This window comes from Homo sapiens, chromosome 3 (genome assembly GCF_000001405.40).
Source record: "Homo sapiens chromosome 3, GRCh38.p14 Primary Assembly".
NCBI lineage: Eukaryota > Metazoa > Chordata > Mammalia > Primates > Hominidae > Homo > Homo sapiens.
In genome coordinates, this window is record NC_000003.12 from 166441074 (window position 1) to 166464906 (window position 23833).

The 23833-nt window shown below is 34.4% G+C and overlaps 3 annotated features.

Moving 5' to 3' along the window:
• Positions 3231-3731: an enhancer, noted in NCBI's record as "H3K4me1 hESC enhancer chr3:166162092-166162592 (GRCh37/hg19 assembly coordinates)". NCBI's record gives its function as "activates a minimal SCP1, AML or CMV promoter by ChIP-STARR-seq in primed H9 embryonic stem cells {active_cell/tissue: H9 hESC(primed)}" and the evidence as "EXISTENCE:reporter gene assay evidence [ECO:0000049][PMID:30033119]".
• Positions 3732-4232: an enhancer, noted in NCBI's record as "H3K4me1 hESC enhancer chr3:166162593-166163093 (GRCh37/hg19 assembly coordinates)". NCBI's record gives its function as "activates a minimal SCP1, AML or CMV promoter by ChIP-STARR-seq in primed H9 embryonic stem cells {active_cell/tissue: H9 hESC(primed)}" and the evidence as "EXISTENCE:reporter gene assay evidence [ECO:0000049][PMID:30033119]".
• Positions 8135-8335: a silencer, noted in NCBI's record as "peak4908 fragment used in MPRA reporter construct". NCBI's record gives its function as "represses an SCP1 promoter by STARR-seq MPRAs in K562 erythroleukemia cells {active_cell/tissue: K562}" and the evidence as "EXISTENCE:reporter gene assay evidence [ECO:0000049][PMID:32103011]".

Here is a 23833-nt window from a genome sequence, read left to right on the forward strand (position 1 = left end):
TGTGTGTTATCTAAGCAACATCTCTCCAGTCTACTCTTTTAGTCCCTGTTAACTACCATTCTACTCTTTGTTATTGAGTTTGCCTTTTTCAGATTCCACATATAAGTGAAATCATGAGGTATTTCTATTTTTGTGTCTGGCTTATTTCACTTAACATAAAGTCCTCCAGTACTTCCTTCTTTTTTAAGACTGAATAGTATTCTACTGTGTATATATACCACATTTTTTAGATCCATTCATCCATTAATGCATGCTTTGGTTGATTTCATATGTTGGCTATTGTGAATAATGAATGCTACAGTAAACATGAGCATGCAGATATCTCTGACATACTGATTTCTCTCAGATGTATACCAAGTGGAATTGCTAGATCTATAATTTTTGAGGAACCCTGCACTGTTTTCTGATAAGAAAATGGAAACTTGTACACTGTCCAGTGAATGTAAATTAGCCAATTTTAAAAAATGAACCATCTGCCTTGTACCCTGTGTTCCCCTTCCCTTTCCTTCAAAGGAACAATTTTAACTAATTATTTGTATTTAATTCCAGACCACTTAATGATATGCTTGTATTCCTATTTGATAACATATATGTACATAATGCATGCATAGTTCTGTATAATTTATATATGTGTATATAATGTATGTATGTACATGTGTTTATATATATTATACATGTATATAGGTGTGTGTATTTGTCTGTGTCTATGTGTGTGTGATTTTAAGCATTATCCATTGACTTTTCAATAGTAATAATGAGGATGTTGCTTTCCTTCTCCTATTCTTACTACACATTCTCATCTTTCTCTTTTGCTTTTTACCCTTAAAGAAATACATTAAAATGTGCATTAGATAGATGGAGGTACTCAGTGTTTACACTATTTTGATATTGTAAGTTCTAGTCACAACTGTGAAGCCCAATTAATTTTGATTTTTATATTATTTCATGCACAAATTTGTGTTATTTCTAGAGTTAAAAATAGGCTGCTTTTGATCTTCAATTTTGCTGTCATTAATTGCAAAATAATCCCATGGCAACGCTTTAAATCTGTACATTTCTTTGGGGCATCTCTCAATTTAATTCTAATAGATAATTTCCTCTTGTAGTCTTCTATATTTCACTATTCTGAATTGGTTGTTCCCTATACCTGTTACCTAACCGCCACATTTTGTATATCCTTTCCCCATGGCCCAAGGAATCCCCTTTGCTGTCTCTTATTTTAGTTTCTTTGTTTTGTGTATTCTGTCTTTCTCTCCCTGGTTTACTCATCATTTCAGTACAATGTCACATACTGAAAAAAGTGAATAGTAATTATTTATGAAGACTTTTAACTAGTGCTCTTATTCAAACTTTACCCTAAATATATAGTTGGAATGGGCATACATTGTATGCATCAGTAAGGAAATCTCCTTAATTTAAGCTTTTGAAGGCATCGCTCCATTTTCTTCTTCCTGTCAGTGCTGCTGTTGAATCATCTGAAGACTTTAGGATTTCTGATTCTTTTTTGTTTTTCTCACTCTGAAAACTTGTTGGATCTTCTGTTTTTCCCCAGTGTTCTCAGCATTCATATGGACACTCAATATAAGGTTCTGTACTCTACCCTCACCCTCTGTTGTGTCTCCTGTGTCCCAGTCATTAGACGTTGTGATCTTGAGAAAAAACATTGTCTCTTTTTTTTTTTTGAGATGGGTTCTCACTCTGTCACCCAGGTTTCTTGAGTGCAAACTCTGCTCACTGCAACATCCCCCTCCCAGGCTCAAGCAGTCCTCCCACCTCAGCCTCCTGAGTAGGTGGGACCACAGCATGCACCACCATGCCCAGTTAATTTTTTGTGTATTTGGTAGAGAAGGGGTTTCACCCCGTTGCCCAGGTTGGTCTCGAACTCCTGAGCTCAAATGATCCACCTGCCTCAGCCTCCCAAATTGCTGGGATTTCAGGTGTGAGCCACCACGCCTGGCCAAAATTTTAATTCTTTTCTGGGTGGAGCAGTTGAGTGACTGATTTGAAAGTAGGAACATATTTGGAAGTCTGTCTTTCAAAAAAATGGACAAGAAAATAATCTTGTCATTTAAGTTTCCTATTTACCTCCCCTTCCAGAGTATCTGTTGCAGCCATTTCCTGAACACGGTTGGAATTGCATAGTACAAATGGAGTTAGGCTTGAGCTTCCTCATTGTCAGCTTAGGCTTTAGGCCTCACAAACCTTCTCCTCCCACAAGAGATCCCTTAAGTGTTTTGCTGCTCACATATGTTTTTTTAATTTACATAATTTTATTGCTACATTTTTGTTCTGCTCATCTTTATGGTTGTATGTTTAATGTCCAACCAAACCAATCAAACAAAAACAAACAAAACATAATTTAAAAAATACAAAATAAATAATAATAATAAGCAATAACACAATCAGAAGGGAGACAAATATGTGTGTGCTGTACTCTGCCTTTTCACATGCAATTTTTATCTTTGAAATTTAGCAGTTTTTACAGAATATGTCTCAATAATTAATCGCCATTTTGTTAATTTTTCCTGGTAAAAGTTAATCCTGAGATTCAGGCTGTTGAGTTCAAGTAAATTTCTCCTTTTATATCATTAGAGATTACCTCTGTTTCATCAGTATTGTCCTATTTTTCTCAGGGTGATGGAGATGTAGCTTAGATATTGAGTCTTCATTAGTATGTTAAATTTTTTGAGAGGAAAAATATGTATCATTATTTAGTTATTGCCAGTGTGTCCTAATCAATTGTTCTTTGCAGAATTCACTATAAGATGTTGAAATGTTTAATAATCCTCAGAGTGAGGTAACTATGCTGAAAATTTCTTTAATCCTAGTGTAAAACATTGGGCTATGGCAATAACTTCATGAAGCATGATACTTGTGATAGCGGCAGGAGGCAGAAAAATTCCTCAGCAGAGAGGGGCGGGTCCCTGGTGAAACCCACCTTCAGACTGGAGAGAGCTGAAAGTCTGAAATCTGGGCTGCCAGTTCCTGGTGGAGTACACTGCCTGGAGTGAGAACTTCTTTGATGCAGTTTGGCCAATCTAATGATACTTTTTCCAGATCCGTCCATGGACCAATAAGCAAGCACTTGCTCCCACCCTGGACCAGTCAGCACACAGTTCTTCCATTCTAAGCCTATAAAAACCCCAGACTCAGCTGGACTCAGAGACACTTTTGAACTACCTGCCTGCAGATAAGAGCTACCCACTTCAGGTCTACTCTCTGCTGAGAGCTGTTGTGTGACTCTATAAAGCTTTTCTCTGCTTTGGTCACCCTCCAGTTGTCTGCATTATTGCATTGTTCTTGGACTCCAGACAGGAACTCAGGACCTGCTGAATTGCAGGCACAAAAAGGGCTGTAACATGTTCCTGGCCAGCTCACTGAGCTGCAAGCAGTGACACGCTCTTGTTCATCAGACCGTGGGAGTAAACAGCACAACCCTTCTGGGACCTCAGATTTCAGTATTCCCCAAGCCAGAGCCGTAACTCTGTAGCCTTCTCACCCTCTGCTGGCATTGGGCAGCTGCCTCTTGGGATGGGAAGCAGTGGCAGGGCTGGGCCTGCCCAGGAGCTGCAGACCAGAGTGGCTGACCAAGCTGTAATACAAATGGGCTGAAACAGGCACCGTCCCATGTTTGCTGTGCCATGGGCAGCTGGACTGAGAGAGTGGTAACTCATCCTCCACCCCTTGGGGCCCTGTGGTGGCTGGCATCTCTAAGTTTTCAGATGCCACCTTGTTCCCCTTGTTCAGATGCTGGCGCCTGCAGCAGAAGCTGTTGTGGTACGCCCAGTCCAGCTGCAGCCTTCCATGCAGCTGGCACCTGAGCCAGCACCTGGAGCTACCCGTTCTGCCACAGCAGCCAGCGCACCTGGCTGTGAGCAGTGGCTGGACCCTGTGCTCACTTGCTTACACATCCCTCACTACTCCGCACCTGGCTCACCCTCAGTGGACGTGGGATCTAAGCCAATAGCGTGAAGCAAGCACAGCCTGTCGGATGAGTGTTTGGAAACAAGCCCAGTGGGTGCAAGTGAAATTCAGCCAGAGGTGCTGCTGGCCACAGAGTTTGCCGCTGGTGAAGCAACAGCCAAAGCATCCAGTGACACTTGCATACATTTTGGATAAAGTATTCAAAACTATGTAGGAACTCCAGTTTAGGGGAGTAATTATTTAATAATTTAATAAGTGATATTTGGCTGAGTATTTTTAAGGATAGAAGAGTAAGTTACCATCATTTTGGCCTAAGAACAAATGAGACTTCTATTTGTTAAAATATGGATCAAGGGATCTTAGGAGGATTATTTGCTTGTTTATAAGCTGATTGTTCACATATCTTTTCTTACCTGCCTTCAATGTCTCGTCAGTGTTTGATTTGAATTTTGCTACATTAAACTAGCCTAGATAACATTTTCCTGTTTATATTAAAGTTCTCCTGGTATAGACAAATTTGATTGATTGATAAATATAGATAAATCTCATGTCTAGAGAGAGAGAGACAAGAGAGAAGGTTTACTTTAAGGGCCAAATAAACCACCTTTGACTCATGCAATTGAGGGGGCATGCAAGTTAGAATCAGGCCAGTAAACTAGAAATTCTGCCAAGAGTTAATATTGCAGTCTCCAGTCTGAACCCTGGAAACTTAGGCAGAATTTCTATTTTTGACTCAACAGAGAATTCCTTTCTTAACAGGGACCTAGATTTGTTTTTAAGGCTTTCCGTTGTTTGGATGAGGACCACCACATTGTGGAAGTAATCTGCTTTACTCAACATCTACCAATTTAAATGTTAATTACTTCAAAAAATACTTTCCCCACAACATCTAGCTGGGTATTTTACAAAACAATTTGGCACCACAGCCTAGGCAAGTTGACACCTAAAATTAACCATCACATTGTTTCAGTTGAGAAATCAATAAGTACTTTCAAACAGAAAAATGAAAATAAATGCACAGTCATGCATTGCTTAATGATGAGAAATGTGTTGTTAAGCAATTTTGTCATTAGGCAAATATAGATTTTACTTACACAAACCTAGATGGTATAGCCTATGACACACTTAGGCTATATCTTACAGCCTTTTGTTCCTAGGCTACCAAACTGTACAGTAAGTTACTCAACTGTATACTGTAGGCAACTGTAACACAATGGCAAGTATTGGTATATCTAAACATAGAGAAGGCATAGTGAAAATAGAGAATATGGCAGGCGTAGTGGTGTGTGCCTATAATCCCAGCCACTCTGGAGGTTGAGGTGGGAGTATTTCTTGAGCCCAGGAATTTGAAACAATCCTGGGAAGCAGCAAGACACTATCTCAAATAAAAAATAAAATAATTTAAAAATACAGTATAAAATAAAAAAAAATGGTACACCTTTATAAAGACTTACCAAGAATGGAGCTTGCAGGCCTGGAAGTTCCACTGGGTGAGTCACTGGGTGAGTGGTGAGTGAATGTGAAGGCCTGAGACATTTCTCTACACTACTCTAGACTTTATAAACATTGTATAATTAGGCTACATTAAATTCTTTTTAGAAATTTTCTTTCTTGAATAAATTAATCTGAGCTTACTGTAACTTTTTTATTTTATAAACTTTTTAATTCCTTTCAATTCTTTAACTCTTGTGTAACCACACTTAGCTTAAAACACAAACACGTTGTACAGCTGTATAAACATATTTTCTTTCTTTATATCCCTATTCCATAAGCTTTTCCTGTTTTTAACATTTTTAACATTTTCAACTTTTTGTTAAAAACTAAGACACAAACACACACATTAGCCTAGGCCCATGCAGTACCACAATTATCAATATCGCTGTCTTTCACATCCGTATCTTGTGTCACTGGAAGGTCTTCAGGGGGCGTAACACAAATGGAGCTGTTGCAAGTACCTCTTCTACAGTTACTTTTTTTTTAAAATAAGTAGAAGGAATACACTCTAATATAATGATAAAAAGTACAGTATAAAAATATATAAACCAGTAACATGACCATTTATTATCGTTATCCAGTAATGTACTGAAGTTAACTATATACTTTCTTTTCTAAACTGGCAGTGCAGTAGGTTTGTTTACACCAGCAACGCCACAAACTCGAGTCATGCCTTACACTAAAATGTTACAATGTCTACAGTGTAACTAGGCCATAGGAATTTTTCAGCACAATTATTATCTTATGGGACCACTGCCATGTATGTGCTCAGTAGTGCACCAAAATGTCATTATGCTCTAGTCTTTCATGCACATATTTTTCTGTAGAAAGTAGTTGAAGAGATTAAGCATATCAAAAATTGATCCCTTAAATTAATATTCAGTTGTGAAAAGCTAGTCCAACATATTTTAATACTGCCTTAGAATTAATTAAAAAAAATCTATCAGAATGCCAAATTGTTTTCAAACATTTTACCAGATAAGTTAAATTTACATTATTAATTAAGTTCTCAGATATGATTTGTTTAGATGGGGACTAATATTTATTCCTGTAACTTTTGTTTTGTTATCAAAGGTTCTGGAATAATGTGTTTGATTCTATTTTTCTCACATTCAAAGCCCCATATTATATGGAGAACGAGTCTCTCTATTTTTTCTTTTTTTTCTTTTTAACTGATAGGCCTAGGGAAAAGCCTTTTTAAGTTACCCAGTTTTTTAAAATGGCTTTGATCCTTGCTTATCTTCTCTTTGCTTAGTTGTTTTATAATATGTCATCATGTGTGAACTTTGTCCAATATTTAATTTTGTATCATCGGCAGCTACTCATAAATTATAAACCCAATTATCATTGCTGTCAGTGGTGGCTGATTTACCTTACGATAACAAAAACAATAATAAAATAAAATAAAAAATTTAACATACAATTTGGAGAATATTTATAGAATACTAACTGAAATCAACTTTGCAATTACTGTTTGCCTTTATTCTCTTAGACTGACTTATATATTTATGACTAATTTTCACCAAATTTTATTTCTTAGAAAATGTTTTAATCCTACTAAAAATGTAATCCAGTATACTTTAAGAAAATCTATGCCAAATGTTCTGTGAGATTAGCCAATCTTGTCATAGATACTTGTCAATGTTTTGTACACCAGAGTGAAATTTACTTCCTGACCCTAGCTATTCCTTAGGTAATACACAAAAACAACTGAATTGACAATCATAGTCACCTAAGATAATGGAAAAACAGTTGTTTGTCAAGTACTTTTTTAATGAATCTTGTATGACTAAGTAGCTTTATATTTGAAAGTTTTGCAAGTAAATTATTTTTATGTTGATGTATTTCTTTCTATTTGTATTTTGTAAATGCACAGTAGGTTCCAATTTATGTTGTCCTGGGTATTTTTTTTTCTAGTTTTGCGCAGAAACAAATAGAAATATAAAATTTAATTAATTATATGTATTTAAAAATAAAATATAATATTTTATTTCATTTTGTTTGCAACCCTCATCCAATAAAATGTAAATCATGATTTTAAACCTTTGGGCTGTAATAAACTTGTTGCCTTAATAGCCCTAGTCCTTTGCCTCTCCTGAATGTATACACTTTAAAATGGGACTTTGCAGTTCCTGTTATGAAGCACATAACATAATTACACACATCTTAATTCTGAGTTCAGCTATGTGACTTGCTTTTGCCTTTGATATCCTAGCATTTGTAGTATAAGAAAAAGCTAAAAAAGGACTGGTGCACTTTTGCCTTCAATGTGGAAACACAGCCAGGCTGGCCCACCAGAGAGAGGTGAGAGAAAAATGAAGTAGAGACAAGTTGTTCCAGGCAATAATCAGCTCACTTCTAGAGACATAATACCCCAGACAGCAGTCAGGTAATACCCAGACATGACGGAGAATCCATGTGAAACTCAGAAATTGCCCAGCTGAATTTTTCAGTCACAGACTCAAGACAAAACAAATTCTTATTGTTTTAAGCCATTGTGTTTTGGAATGGTTTGTTATGCTGCATTAATATGGCAGAGTGAATGATGGAGAAGCAAAGAATTGTATATATTTTTTTATTTCTCAGTTAATAACAATTGCTCTGTGTATTAGTCTGTTTTCATACTGCTATAAAGAACTGCCCAAGACTGGGTAATTTATAAAGGAAAGACATTTAACTTACAGTCCTCCAGGGCTCAGGAAACTTACAATCATGGCGAAAGGCAAAGGGAAAGCAAGGCATCTTATCACAAGATGGCAGGAAGAAGAAGTGCTGAACAGAGGGAGCAGAGTCCCTTATAAAACCATCAGATTTCATGAGAACTAACTCACTATCATGAGAACAACATGGAGAAGCTACAACTATGATTCAATTACCTCCTGCTGGTCTCTTCCTTGACACTTGGGGATTCTGGAGATTACAATTCAAGATGAGTTTTGGGGGGTAGTCAAAGGCTAACCATATGACTCTGTGTAACTTCTCTCACTTTTTTAAAGTATGTATATATTTGAGGATATATATGTTTATTTATTTTAAACAGTCCAATTCTTCTCACCCAAAGAAATGCAAATGTGTGTGTGTGTATATATATATATAATACATTATATATTATATATATATTATATATATATAACTCTTTGTTTTAATTACCACTATCTTTTCCAAATCTATTAGTTTCATTTTAAGTATATGTTGATTGTTGACTTTAAGTGTCACATAGAATCCCACAGTGCCAGTCATTTTCTATTTATCCATTGTTCTAGAAGTGGAAACTATGTGTTCTCCATATTTCTACAAACACAAAAGCAGCATAATGAAAATCTCCATGTATAGCCTTGTGGGAAAATGTATGTATCCAATTATCATTGCATAAATTTACTTTCTAAGAAGATCATTCCAGTTATATAATTTATCATTTTGTAATGTTTTTAATATGATGTTTTTTTCTCCCAGCTTTGTCAAGATTTAGGTAGTCTCTTAAACTAGAAAAGTGGTTTAATTTGTCTATTTGTTTAATGTAGAGACGTATGGCATGTATCACCTTCACCCTCTTTCACATAAATCCTAAATAATAACAAAACTATTTTAAATTATAATAAGGAAGATTTTGGTTGCCAGTCTTAGAAATTACTATCTTAAAACATACACCAAGATAATCATTTGGAGTTATCATATGTGGGGGTCTTCTCAAAAATTGAATTGCAATTATTTGTTTCAGAAAATTTGAATACATATGAGTATGAAAATAAAAGTTGGAGCAAATGGTCACTTGCTTGTTCGATCCAGCACTAGCATTCAGTGAAAATGAAACAACCTCAGAAGGGGAAATAACATCATGCCATATTTTTAAAAGAACAAATACATAAAACAGAAGTGGAAAATATTAAAATAGAAAAGACAAATCTGTGTAATCAAGCAAATAAAATCATCATAACTTTTCAGAAAACAGTCACAAAGAAAAATATATATTATACCTCTAATCTAGAGATGATTCAATATTTTGATATATAAGCTTTAAAATATATTCTTCTGCATAAGTCTTTTAGAAAAAATATTTAGATAAAATTTATAGTTAACAAAAAATGTTGAAAGATTATTCTCTTTGTTCAATGTTTCCCAACAAGGAAGCTATTGGTATTTTGGGTGGGACCATTCAATTCTTTGACTAGTCTTTCAGTCAATATACAGGATAATTTCCACCTTGGGTCCCCACAGCCAAATGCTTTAAAAAGGTAAGAACACCTTAGAATTCAGAATGTGTTCTATTTTGTCATTTTCCAGCTTACAAATAAACACCTCAGTGTGGCTCAGTAAATCTAATAGTGCATCAGTTCACAGTGTATAGCGATCACTAGCAATGGGGTTTGGCATCCTCTCACTGTGTAGGGCTCAGGAAGTTCTTGAGATGCCATCTTTGTTGTCTTTGTGCATTCAACTCTCATTGCGTGATTATAAATGGTATTGTCTGATGAATTGAGAAGCTTCATTAGATTAAAGAAAGTACAGAATGTAAACTTTTTTTGTGAAAGACTAAGTTCCCTAGAGTTACAGGAAAGATAAGCAGAAAGAAAATACAAAGTAAGGATTCATAAATCACATTCTAGACTTTAATTTTTTATTAATTTTCATGGTTTTCTGAATTCCTAAGTTGTCTCAACCATTATAGACTATTATTCTCTGCTCAATTTAGTGACATAGGGCTTACATAATGCTCTTTTCTATATCTTTATAAATGTATTACTATTTGAATGATTACTGTAAGCATGGATAAAATGCTATATTGCCCTCAATTTTAGATAGCAAAAAAATTGTACAGGGAAGACAGATACATCACAATTATCCTTAACTATTTAGTGGTTCACCTTCACAGTGATATGAAAAACAGTACACTTAAAGTAGTAATTCAACTGAGTACTTACCAAGAACTTATGTAATAAAACTGCTTTTAAAGAACTTAATGTCTTTAATGCTTTATCTAGATTTATGTGAAATAATTTAGAGAAAAATCTAATAATGAAACATTTAATTGAAAGCAGTAATATATTTTATTCCACATTCATCTATATATGCAAATACAAAGTTAAAAAAACTTTTTTAAGAAATATGAATCACTGGCCAGGCGCAGTGGCTCACGCCTGTAATCCCAGCACTTTGGGAGGCCGAGGCAGGCAGATCACGAGGTCAGGAGATCGAGACCACCCTGGCTAACGCGGTGAAACCCCGTCTGTACTAAAAATACAAAAAAATTAGCCAGGCATGGTGGCGGGCACCTGTAGTCCCAGCTACTCAGGAGGCTGAGGCAGGAGAATGGCGTGAACCCGGGAGGCGGAGCTTGCAATGAGCAGAGATCACGCCACTGCACTCCAGCCTGGGCGACAGAGCGAGACTCCATCTCAAAAAAGAAGAAAGAAAAAATATATATATATATACATATATATTAATCATTATCACACCTCTACCTCTTGCCTTTCCAAGCCTCCTTGTAGTTGGAGTATATTTCTCTGTCTCATAATAAGGCTTGGCCATATAACTTGGTTTGGCCATGATAATCAAAGAAGGCTTGACATATATGAAGAACTTTAAAATCTTTTGCATGATTTTCTTCAGCTTCTTGCTTATGCCCTCTACTATGAGAAAAAAAAATGACTCAGATAAGAGTTATGAAATCACCTTGGGCCCCAAAATGAGAAGATATGTGGAAAATAGCAAAACCATGGCAAGCAGAGACAAGCAGTGTTGTAGCTGACACATACATCCACGGGATAGAAATAAAAAAAAAACAAATGGTATTTATTTGTTCTTGTAAACCTCAGGGACTTAGGAGCTGTTTGTTACCAAAAAAAGTTGACAGAAATACTTGTTAATATATTGAAATGTATCAGATTCAGGGTTCATACCCACATTTGACAATTTTTTGTCAAAATTATTGATAACTGAGTTAAACCTGTAATTAAAAACTTTACTTGAAAACAGAGGTTTCGATGTTTTCAGGAGTTGTTTTACATAAATTCACTGAACACTCAGGCAAATAGGAATTGATATTAAATAAATTATTTTAGATGTTAAACACAAGGTTGATTTGTGGGTTTTGAAGTCCTTTAGAGAAACAATGTCATGGAAAGTTTTTAGAATTATTTTTTACTTTTTAATTCAAGTTTCACTTTTTAATTATAGACCCAATGTAGTGTAAATCTGACACCATCTTTCAAGCTTAATGATGACTACTTGGTTTTCATTTTCAAAATAAATTGATACTAAGTAGATATGTTTATTGAATATGGGCCATTCAAAGAGGTGATCAAGCTTGCAAAAGATTTATTATTTTAGATTATTTATATAATATCCTCATACCACAACTTTTCACAGTAGCAATTTATGCACTAGTACCATGTTGTGCTACAAAGCACTTTTCTTAAAAACAAATTTTAAATTCAATACAGCCCAATTTTACAATATTATCTGTAGACATTGTGCAAAAATTATATGTAGAAGAAAGGGTAATGCAAAAATAAAAACCATCTTGACTAGCTTACCCATTATCATTGCCCTTTATGAGATACTTTCTTCTTTGTGTCTACTTCTCTTCTAAAAACTATACCTGTAGATATATGATTATATATTAATCCCGAATGTTGAAACTATAATGTAAATAACAATCTAATATGTGCAAAATTTAGCACTTTTTGTATTTTGAATTCAGTAAAGTATTTACGTTATACATTACATCACTATAAATAAATTTTACTACAGTTCTTTATATACGAAGTAAACATACGTTATTCACAATTTGATGCTAACCTTTATATAACATCTTCTACATACAAAGCATTTGGCAAGAATTTGTGGAGCAGGGGATATATTGAAAGGTTAAAAGGGATAAAACACATTTAAAGGGATAATATGCATGAACAAATCCAAGATAATTTTGATCCATAAATATTAAATATTATATAATGCTTATCTCAATATTTCATCAAAACAAAATGCAATGGATTTTAAGATGTGCCATTATTTTTTGTACTTTTATATACTTCAGAAAAGAAAAAAATTGCTTGACATGAGCAAACTATATAGGAGAGTCCCCTTTGAGGGTAATCCACAAAAGGGTTATATATTAACCGTTGCTATGTATTAACCATTGTTTACATTTCCCTTTCCACAAAAGGGAAATGTAAACAAGACCTCAAACTACAAGAAAGGACAGCAAATAAACTAACAAGGCTCTACCTTGATACTTGGTGGAAGAGATAAAACTTTCCCAGATGATTTAAATCACTAGGCATTACCTTGCAAGGTTTGTATTCTGAATTCACACTGCTAGTGTGGTCCAAAAGCCTCAAGCAGAGAATTTAATGAAAGTTGTCTCAGGTTTATTTTGTCCCTAGGTGACTGGAAGAAGCAAATGTGAATCTTCTTGGTTCTCAGTGTATGCCAATGCAGGTTTGTAAAATGCCGTCCATAAGAAGATGCATTCCAACTTCAGAAATGTTAAATTGTATGACAACCATTCTTAAAATCTATTAAATATGTATTCTATAATGAAATCTGTACTTTATATAAACACCAAAAAATGCTATTGAATCATATTTTCATATTGGGGGCTGGAAAACCTTGAGAGAGAACAGTATTTAAATGTTAACAATGATAATGGCAATAATAATAATAACAAAAAAGTAGCAACAGCACAATAACTGTGTCCTTATGATGTGACATTTAATTTCCATGTATTTAGTTACTTGATGCTCACAACAGCCATTCTAAATAGTAATAATAATTTTCCCCTTTTCACAGATAAGTAAACAGAAAAGCCAGTACTTGAATCCAGCCAGTTTTTGTGAAAAGCCATATCTTAATTACTGTTTTAAGAATGAAGGATGTTTCAGCAAGCAGTAACCACATAGATGGCCATTCCAAACCAAGAGGACACAAAAGAGCATAGTTTGTTGTTGTTGTTGTTATTTTTAAGACATTTCTTAAAATGTCAAGGGGATTAGCATGGTTAGGACAAGAGAAATTAAGTACAATTAACTAGGTCATAATAGTGGCAAAATATATGGAGGCCAGAACATGTATTATTTTAATATTAAGATATATGAGATATATTATCTAATTATTGAGGATTCCTTAAAAGTCTTGGAGAAAAAATGTATCATACTGTGAATTGCAGTTTTAGACAACAACTGATATCAATGTGATACACTTCCTCAAAAAGATGACAGCAGCTAGATCATGTGCAAAGGAGTCCTTTATATAGAAGAAGTTAAAAGTCTTAACTAATATGTAACTCATCAACATATAGTGAAAACTTTTTACTATATTTTTGGAAGGAAGAGAGTGTTTCCAACTGAGTTAGTGAACAGGGAAGAAAAAAGTGTTTGACAAAAGAAATAATAAATCCAGTTGGAAACCTACTGAATTTGAAGTACTTGTGTAATTTTCATGTAATTTGGTTAGGGCATAGGTGGATTTCTGGGTTGAAGAGAGTCATGAGAATTGATGTCATTGACAGAAGAAAATATTTTAAAACATATGTATGTAATAGTTGATATAAAACTTATGTATGGACTTTTGCACATGTTTTAGAGTAGTCAATGGATTAAATAACCTTCAACTGATTTTCTTGCACTTTTTTCAAAGAGTGATATTTTTATTTATAGTGAAACAAATACATACAATGCCTTAAAAATGTTTTGCAATAAAATGTACACAACATAAAATGAACCATTTTAACCATTTTTAACTGTAAAATATAGTGACATTAAACATTCACAGTGTTGTGAAACCATCACCTCTGTCAATTTTTAAAACTTAAAGAACTTTTTTTAATACTTTTAAATTTCACATTCATTGTCTCCATCTTGGTAAAATCAGTCATAGTGTTACTGGAAAGGAGCCCCAATCCAAACCTCATGAGAGAGTTCTTGAACATCATGCAAGAAAGAATTTGGTGCAAGTCCATACATTGAAAACAACTTTATTAAGAAAGTAAAGGAATAAAAGAATGGCTACTCTGTAGGCAGAGCAGTGGGCTGGACTGCTTGACTAAGTACACCTATAGTTATTTCTTGATTACATGATAAACAAGGGGTGGATTATTTATGAATTTTCCAGGAAAGGGTGGTGAGGCAATTCCAAAACTGAGTGTTCCTCTCCTTTTTTAGACCATGTAGGGTAACTTCCTGACATTGCCATGGCATTTGTAAACTGTAATGGCACTGGTGGTAGTGTCTTTTAACATGCCAATGAGTTATAATTAGTGTATAATAAGCAGTGAGGACGACCAGAGATCACTTTTGTCATCATCTTGGTTTTGGTGAGTTTTGGCTGGCTTCTTTACTGCATCCTGTTTTATCAGCGAGATCTTTGTGATTTGTATCTGTGCTGACCTCCTATCTCGTCCTGTGACTAAGAATGCTTAACCTCTTGGGAATGCAGCCCAGTAGATCTCAGCCTCATTTTACTTAACCCCTATTCAAGATGGAGCCACTCTGGTTCAAATGCCTTTGACAATAGATCATTCTAAACCAGACAAAAGGAATGTTGGACAGAAAGACCAGGCTAATATAAAAGATTTTGTGTGTGGAATAGAGCACATTTTTGAAAACTTTGTGGTTAGTTATATATGAACAAAATTTAGGCAATTAATGGCTTAAGGAGAAAGTATAAGCAAGTGAGTACATAAATTAAAACTTTATTAATGACGTAGGATCTCAATAAAGGGTCTTTTCCCTAGGACTAAATGTAAATTATCAGCTTCATGGCTTCACTATTTGTAGTATACCTGTCACTCCATTTCCATAAAGCAAAATATAAACCAGATTATTATTTATTCTTGAAAAAACGTCTGTCCTTTGCCCCATTTTTTTATTAGCAGTCATGATGACAGAGTTCCATAGGACTAAGAGCTTTTGGCAACAATGCTTACCCTCTCTCCCACAAATTTCACACCTCAAATCATCTATGAGCCTTGAGGTCACCAAACATATCCTGTCAAATCCACAAGAAGTGCAGGATTCTAAGATCAGCTCAATAGCATTTCCAGAAGGCTTTGCATTCTTTTTCTGACCTACTCTCCAACGACTCATCTTCTATTGTTTATCTTCTCAACGTATCTCTCAATTTTTCCTTTTACTGTCTTCCTCTATCTTAAATCTAAATCTCTTTCAAAAATTCTACTTCCCCTATAGATTTCTCAAGTTGTAGAAGTTTTCTCTTATATCTTGGGATAGAAGTTGGGTTGGTATTTCTATTTGTTTCCTATCACCCCTGTTAGAACATTGTGCTTTCCGTCCTCCCCTAACTCTGGAGCTTCTGAAGCATATGTATTAGACAATGCCACTTGATAATGTTCTATGTTATAGTCATCTATAGATCTCTATGACTGTTTCTGATATTCCTTACAGATTTCAACTTTTGGGAAATTGTTACATTCTTATTGTAATTCTTGGTAATATCTGTTTTCACATAGTTGATCCCCCCCACCATATGACATGCACTTTGTTTTTTGAGCTAATCTCTCCTCTAGTGAACTTTTACTTTGACCTATCTCTGTAATCCACTATGAGAGCTATCTTTAATAAATATAATCTCAATTTAAAGCATCCCATACCTTGAAGAACATCTCCTATCTGTTCACAAAACTCCTTTTAGTGTTCCAACTTTAACACATTAACAACTCCAGCAGTACCTACAACTATTTCTGATAATAACTGGAAAGTTCCAGTATGGAGACCCATTGTCTATGGTCAGTGAGTTCTGGTTTGTTGTGTAGCTAGTTTTTTTCTTTTCTTTCTTTCTTTATTTTATTTTATTTTATTTTATTTTTTTGAGACAGAGTCTCACTCTGTTGCCCAGGCTGGAGTGCAGTCGCGCGATCTCAGCTCACTGCAGCCTCCGCCTCCCAGATTGAAGTGATTCTCCTGCCTCAGTCTCCCAAGTCTGTAGCTAGTTTTAATTTGTTGGTACCAATGTTCTACTAGTCATTATATTTTAAAAATGTGATCTGTGCCTTCAAGGCATTGATCCTATCACCCTTTCACTGATTTATTCACTTTCTGGTATTAACTTTTTCCTTGCTCAGCATATAAATTGTACGGCCAATTATTCTTATTCCTGTTTGTATATATTATGCATCCCTCGTCTCTCACTACCTATTTTATACTCTTTTGTATTATGCCAAATAAGCCAGTCTCTGTTTATTTCAGTGCTACACTTTTGCAGGTGGATAAGGGCACAGAAACAATTAATAGGCTTCCATTTAAATCATGAACAACAATCTCAGTTGAGACCTTATATATCCTACCCAGAAATCTAAGGTTGTTTATCTAGTTCATTCACTCCAATACCATTCTTACTCTAGATGATATTTTTATCCTATTTCTCTGAAAAACAGAAGCAATCGGAAGGCATCCTCCTTGAATTTCAACCATATCATTAACTCACTGCCTGACCTATATCATATATTTAGCTTTTGACCTTCCATGCTCTTAGCAAAGACAAATTCTTCTGCTTGTCTTTCTAACTCTATCTCTAACTACATTGACCCTGACCCTGACCTTAATTTCCTTTTATCTGTAATCCTAAATGTATCTGAATCTAGTTTGAACCTGTTAATTATCTCTCACCTAAATGAAGAAATTCAAACCAATATTCTTTCCTTCTCTTGCATTAGTAACATTATCTTTAAACTTGATTATTTCCATTAGGATATAAATATACTTGAACCTTCATATTTAAATAAAAACCATTTTAATAAAAATTTTATTTTAATACAAAACTTATATCTCCTTCTAGTTATCATCTCTTTTCTATGCTTTCCTATATAGCTCAACTCCAGACAAAGTTGACTGTACTTGCTTTCTGATTTTACTCTGTTATTTCCCCTTGATCCCATTTCAAATACTCTTTCAAATACCATTTTAAATATTTTCACTACCCATCCTACTGACCCTGCACATGACCTCAACATTGCTAAATCGAATAGCCGATGTTCATTTCTGATCCAGGTTAAAGTGGCAGTATTGACATAGGAAACACTCAGACTATTTCTCTACTACTGAATTTTTTTTTCCTTCCTCACTGGCCCTCCTCTTAGTCTTTCTGACTGGCTTCTCTTATTCTCTGTGTTTTCTAAATGTTTGTATGACCCAGTCTGACCTTTAGGTCTGCTTATTTTCCTCCACCTGATCCTTCTATTCCTCCTCCAATCTCCCACACTTTTCATTCCTGTTCTTCTACCCCATCTTTCCTTTCCATTACTTATTCTCCATGTACTTCCAGGTAATCTTATTGAGTTTCATTAATTTTTAAAAATCCATATGTTGACAGTTGACAGTATCCAAATATTCTTCTCCAAATAGTTTCTTGAACTCCAGAATCATAATAATTGTATTCTTAGCATTTCTACATTAGTTTAATATGTTTAAAAGAGAACTTCTAGTCCTTCTATATGAAATATATAACTCTTTTAAAGTTTTCTTTCATTTTAGCCTGATAACTACTTGTGCTAAAATATTTAAGGCATTTTTAACATTACTATTTCTCTCATACCCCATTCAACTCCATCTGTAAGCCCTGAAGGCTTAACATCCACATTAATTCAGCATTATATTATCTCCTGTAATAGCACCTGGTTAAAGGCAAGTCTTCTCTCTTATGAATTATTGCAATAGCTTCCTACTTAGTTTTCTTGCTTCTGCCCTTGTCTTCCTACACAGTGGCAGTAGTGTTCTTGTAAAACCAAAAGTTGATCATTTTATTTCATTGTCCCGTACTCTCCCATGGCTCCTTTTGTTCTTGGAGTTAAAGCCGAAGTCCCAAAGTAATTTAGACACTTTCTGATCTGGCTCCCTGTTACCACTCTGATCTCAGCTTCTACTGTCCTTCATGTGTCTCCCTGGACTCCAGCCTCTTTGCTATTTGTGAAATATACCACCACTGTCCTGGATGGACTGTTCTTTCTGTCTGAAAATTCTTCTCTTAGATATGCATATAGCTTATCCTTTCATGTCTTTTTATTACTTAAGCTTCTATGATCACTCTTTGAAAAATTGTTTATTCATTCTTCGTTTCTGTTTTGTTCTAACACAAAGTACTTAATATAATCAAAGGTAATATATTATCAATCACCTGACAACTAAAATTTCCAATTAGGTAAGAGATTATCTGCTAATGTATTTCCAGCATATAGAAAAACAACTAAAGGCCGGGCGCGGTGGCTCACGCCTGTAATCCCAGCACTTTGGGAGGCCGAGGCGGGCGGATCACGAGGTCAGGAGATCGAGACCACGGTGAAACCCCGTCTCTACTAAAAATACAAAAAATTAGCCGGGCGCAGTGGCGGGCGCCTGTAGTCCCAGCTACTCGGGAGGCTGAGGCAGGAGAATGGCGTGAACCCGGAAGGCGGAGCTTGCAGTGAGCGGAGATCGCGCCACAGCACTCCCGCCTGGGCGACAGAACGAGACTCCGTCTCAAAAAAAAAAAAAAAAAAAAAAGAAAAGAAAAGAAAAACAACTAAAACATAATAGGTGCTTAATGAATGTTGACTGAATCAATGAATGAAATAATAACTTAATGTTATTTATTCGATAACTTCTTTCTTAATTGAAAAATGCTTTCTGGCCATAAATACCTCTCTATAAAATTTGGTTATATTTTATTATGTACTTATTTCTGCTTTTTTCCTAGTTTGTATGAACTTGAAAGGTTTAGTTGAAGTAGAATTGTCACACTCATTCTTTTTATTTTTTAAATACTCAATTTTAAAGGAAGAAGGGTTAAAGTAAAAAAGACTGAATGAGAAGTTACGAGTCAAATTTATTAGTGTCTAAAATATAATAGCAATTGCATATAGATTTTTCTTTCCCATTTAATCCTGGGCATATAAGGAAGCGCCAACGTGAGCATGTCTTTGAGCAGAATCCATTTTGCTCTTGCTTGTTTTTCACATAGAACTGCATTCGCTTTACCTGCATGTCTCATCTCTCAATTTTGTGTGTTTTTCCATCTGTTTATGTTTCTTTTTATAGTCATTTACTGCCTTCTTATTGACCTGCCCTATGTTAAACATGTCCCTAATATGTCCTGCCCACATCTCAGCCTGTCTACTTGTGTTTCTTCATCTAGCTAACAATAAACAACATAAGTCAGGTAATGAAATCAGCGTAATAAGAGAGGATCATGGTGTCTAGTTTGTTCAGAGGAAAAAGCACATGTGATGAAAATACACTCAGAGCTTGTTTTCTAAACACCATTTGCTAATTAAAATAATCAGTTCCTTTAAGAAGGAATGGATTCAATTTTTAATTTTTTGAGGAATCCCTGTACTGTTTTCCTTATCTAAGGTAATGTAAATGTCAATTAGCTTGATTTAGCTGTTCCACGAAGTATACATACACTTCAAAACATCGTGCTGTATATGGTAAATATATACAAATTTATCTGTCAATTAAAAAAGATAATTTTTTAAAAAAGGAAAAAATAAGGTAGCGGTTTCTAAGACTGGAGCGCAGAAAATACAAAAATTGCCTGGAGAATCTTGTAGTGCCAGTTTGCCCATTTGAAAGCTTTCACTGCATACTACATTCTTTATTGTGTCTTCACTCTGGGATAATTCAATCAATCCTGATTTAATCTATCTGTAGCTTTAAAGGTTGTCTTTACAATGGCTACAACAGGCATATTCTTGAATTGATATTGAGTATTTCTGAGTTCAAATAGCTTAAAGTTGTTTAAAACATTACTAAGTTTTATCATTTACTGCTTAAATTTGAAATGACATCAAAATTTATCAATCACTGTGTGCTGTTATTAATTTTTTGCAAAACCTTATTAGATTAAGCCAATTGCAATCAATGTTGTTAATATTCTGCTTTTTCAAAATCTCCCCTAGAACAAATACATTAATTACTTAGAGTTTCTATGTTATACTTTGTCACAGGCAAGATTTGTACCAGATGAACTTATTGGTCTTTCAATGTTCACATGTGTGAATTATACCAAATATTCTTCAACAATATAATGTTGGTGCATTCTTCCAACTCTCCTGAACAGTTTTACTAAAATAGTACCTGTCCCTCGATCCTAAGTCAAGGAACAGTTTTTTTTTTAATAAGTAACACTTCTTTCATAAGTTATGAGAGACTAGATAATGTTGTAATAACAATCTCCCTATAATATCAGTGGCTTAAAAGAACAAAAGTTTGTTTTTCCTGGATGTCTATGTGGTCTTTTATTAAGACAGGAGACTTGTTCCATGTCAGAGGGAAAAATTGTAGAAGTGTTTTACTCTTGCAGCCAAGTATCTTGATTATTTCCATTTATAACTGATTGCGAAAGCAAGTTCCAAAGTACCAAACTCCAGGGTGCAAAGAAATTCAATCTTCAGTGTGCCCCAAAACAGGAGAGAACCAAGAATCAGTGAGAAATGTTGTGTTTCAATGGAACACCCCCTTTTCTTAAGTCAAGATCCTTTCACTGGGCTAGTGTTCTTTGGAAAATCCTGATACAGTCTGGGTTAGTCCATACGATAATTGACTGAGCAATAGAATTCCAGACTTCTAGGAACACTCCTTAAATGTGATATTTCAGTTGTTGGTGTGAATAGATGGATAGTTTCCAAGTGAAAAATATGTATTCCAACTGGCACCATCAGTTTTATTTAGCGTTGTTCATAAATGCTTTTACTGCTGATGTTTTTGAATATCATTATTTTAAATCTAGTTATTTTTCCAAATTCTTCAAACATCTTTACTATACCAAGTAATTTTCAGGATTTATTAAAGGTTAATGAAGGAGTTTATTGCATCATATCTTCTATGGCTGTTTAAATACATGTAACTTTAGGGAAAACGTAAAGTAAACCACTGCAAGATGGCTAAAGGCCAAACATTGACAAAAGATGATTTATATTTTTATTATCAGAGGTCAAGGAGACTCATATAAGCTAACTTTTCATGGCAGAGCTTGTCTTTATTTAATTTCAATCTGATGTCAGTTTGTAGTTATTAAGCACTTACTAACTGTAAATCTTTTTACATATGTAGTGTAATAAATATACAGCAATTAGGCACTCTTGCCAGTTTATATATATTGTTCAATATTATATAATTGCAATCCAGCAGAGGAGGAAATATAAAAGTACAATCATGCAACACTGCTAGCCTACATTCTCCATTGATTCCTCATATCTGAAGTTTGTCAACATTTCACTAAAAGATACGAGAGTCTTGTGACAAAACCTGCATTACCATTCTCATATTTTTACTCTTATTTTTCTCTTAGCCTTGTCTTATCCAGTGACAATTAATTACTTGTTATTTTCAGAGTAAATAATGCTCCAATATATATTTTGGCTTTTGCCCATAATACAGACTTTAAAATAATTTGGTTCTATTTTAAGTACTTACTTAGTATTACTTTAGAAAACTTACTTTCCCTTCCTTGTTTCGGAATCTTCACAGTTTAGTACAAAATATAACTAGTATCCTAGCAGTGAAAAAAATGCATTTCAGTTGCAAGACCTATATATTTACTGAGCATATTGAACTATGTGCTTGTAAGAGTGCCAAGTTCAATGACTAAAACAGTGCATAAGAAAATCTCTGTTTGGAAGAGGATCTTTGTCAAGATCTTGGAGGTACAGGCTAGTGATTTGGCACTTACAGAGCAGCATGGTAAGTGGTGTATGGATCCAGCCAACCCAATTCCCTGGTTATGATAGAGTTTAATTTCAAAGGGCTTAGCAACCTGCACAGCGTCCAGAGTGTCCACTTTCAGGAGGCCAGTCCAGTCCAGCATATGGACTTCAGGGAAAAGGAGTCATGATTTACTTTCCTCAAGTTCTTTTTCTACATAAAAATGAAGGCATTATTAAGGGATAAATTTGGCCACTGGGGCATAAAATCACAAATTTCTCTGAAATTTAGATTTTCTGGATACTTGCAGGGCCAAAGCCAGAGACTCAGGGAACTTTTTCTTCATCAGAGTACATAATTATTGAACTTAAAGAAAGTGATGTTCTGGAACAGGGCTTCACTTTTATGTAAAGTGAGCCAATGTTTGAAAGAATTACAACACACAAGAAAAGTTCAGGCATTATTTTCTGAGCTGACAAGCACAATTAATGTCTGTCCTCTGTGACTCTATGAAGCATCCTGGACAACCCTTTAACTTGCACATTGAAATAATCTGCTGCACTTCTGTTTTACCCATTAGACTATTAACTTGGCAAGGAATAAGGCTTTGCTTTGTGTACCATGCAATCATTAACATACTTATTAGTACAGAGTAATACTTTAATATGTAGAACTCCAGCAGTTGTTTAATATTTAGAACTGAGCCAAATTGCTGATGTTAGAGGGAAAAAAAGGCAAAAAATACTAAATAAATACACTCCAGCTCAATTCTGAGACAAAATTATATAGACAAAAATATATGAGATGTATACAATATAACAAAATTTGTCAAATTAAGCAGATTATTATCTAAACTTTACGTAATACATAGACTTGCTCATTGATTAAGTGCAGACACATTTTAAATTATTTCAAAGATCTTGATTGAGAAAGAATCAATATATTGACTTTACATTCTTTAAAAAAGAAGCCTAATTGGCATAAGTTTATTCTTGAAAACTCTATTAAATGTCACATATTCTGGCATTAATGTTTGAGATACTTTGATATTGTGTATTACACCCTAAGTATATGTCCTTTTCTATATTAATTATAACATTTAAAATAATATTATCTTATTTTGCATTTACACAACATATGCTAGTTTTTAAGAACCATAGTGATATATGTAATCTAAAGATTTGCCCTCAAGTCTCAGATAACGACAATTCTCTAATAAAGTCATTTTATCATTTTAAATCACAAATTATCCTTTTAAAAAATTTGGGAAAAGGTATATGATATGTGAAAGTGTTTTACAACTATACATGATTGTTTGAAATGAAGAACAAGATATTATCTATAGTTCTCAAATTTCTCAAAGATTATTGTCATGCTTAAAGGGAGAAACACGGTATTTTGTTTGCTTTTTGTTTTTGTTTTTGTTTTTTTCTGTGTGATCAGAATTCATTTTATGCAAGATCTAATGCCATCTAATTGTAAGAGTTTGTACTACATTCATGTATAGTTGTTGAAATTAAATATCTCTAAAAACCATCACCACCAACCACAAACCCTAATAAAATAAATGTAATCATTGGCAGATTGAATTTCATTTATAAAAGGAAGGAAACGGGGGGAACAGCAAAAATAAAATAACCTTTAAAACTACTACATAAAAATATAAAACTACCATGCAGAACAGGATTTACTTCGAGATTTATTTTACTTGGTTTTGCTTTTGTTTTGTTTATTAGTAGACTCCACTACATAGCTTTAACACTTTCTTCTGGATTCAACTT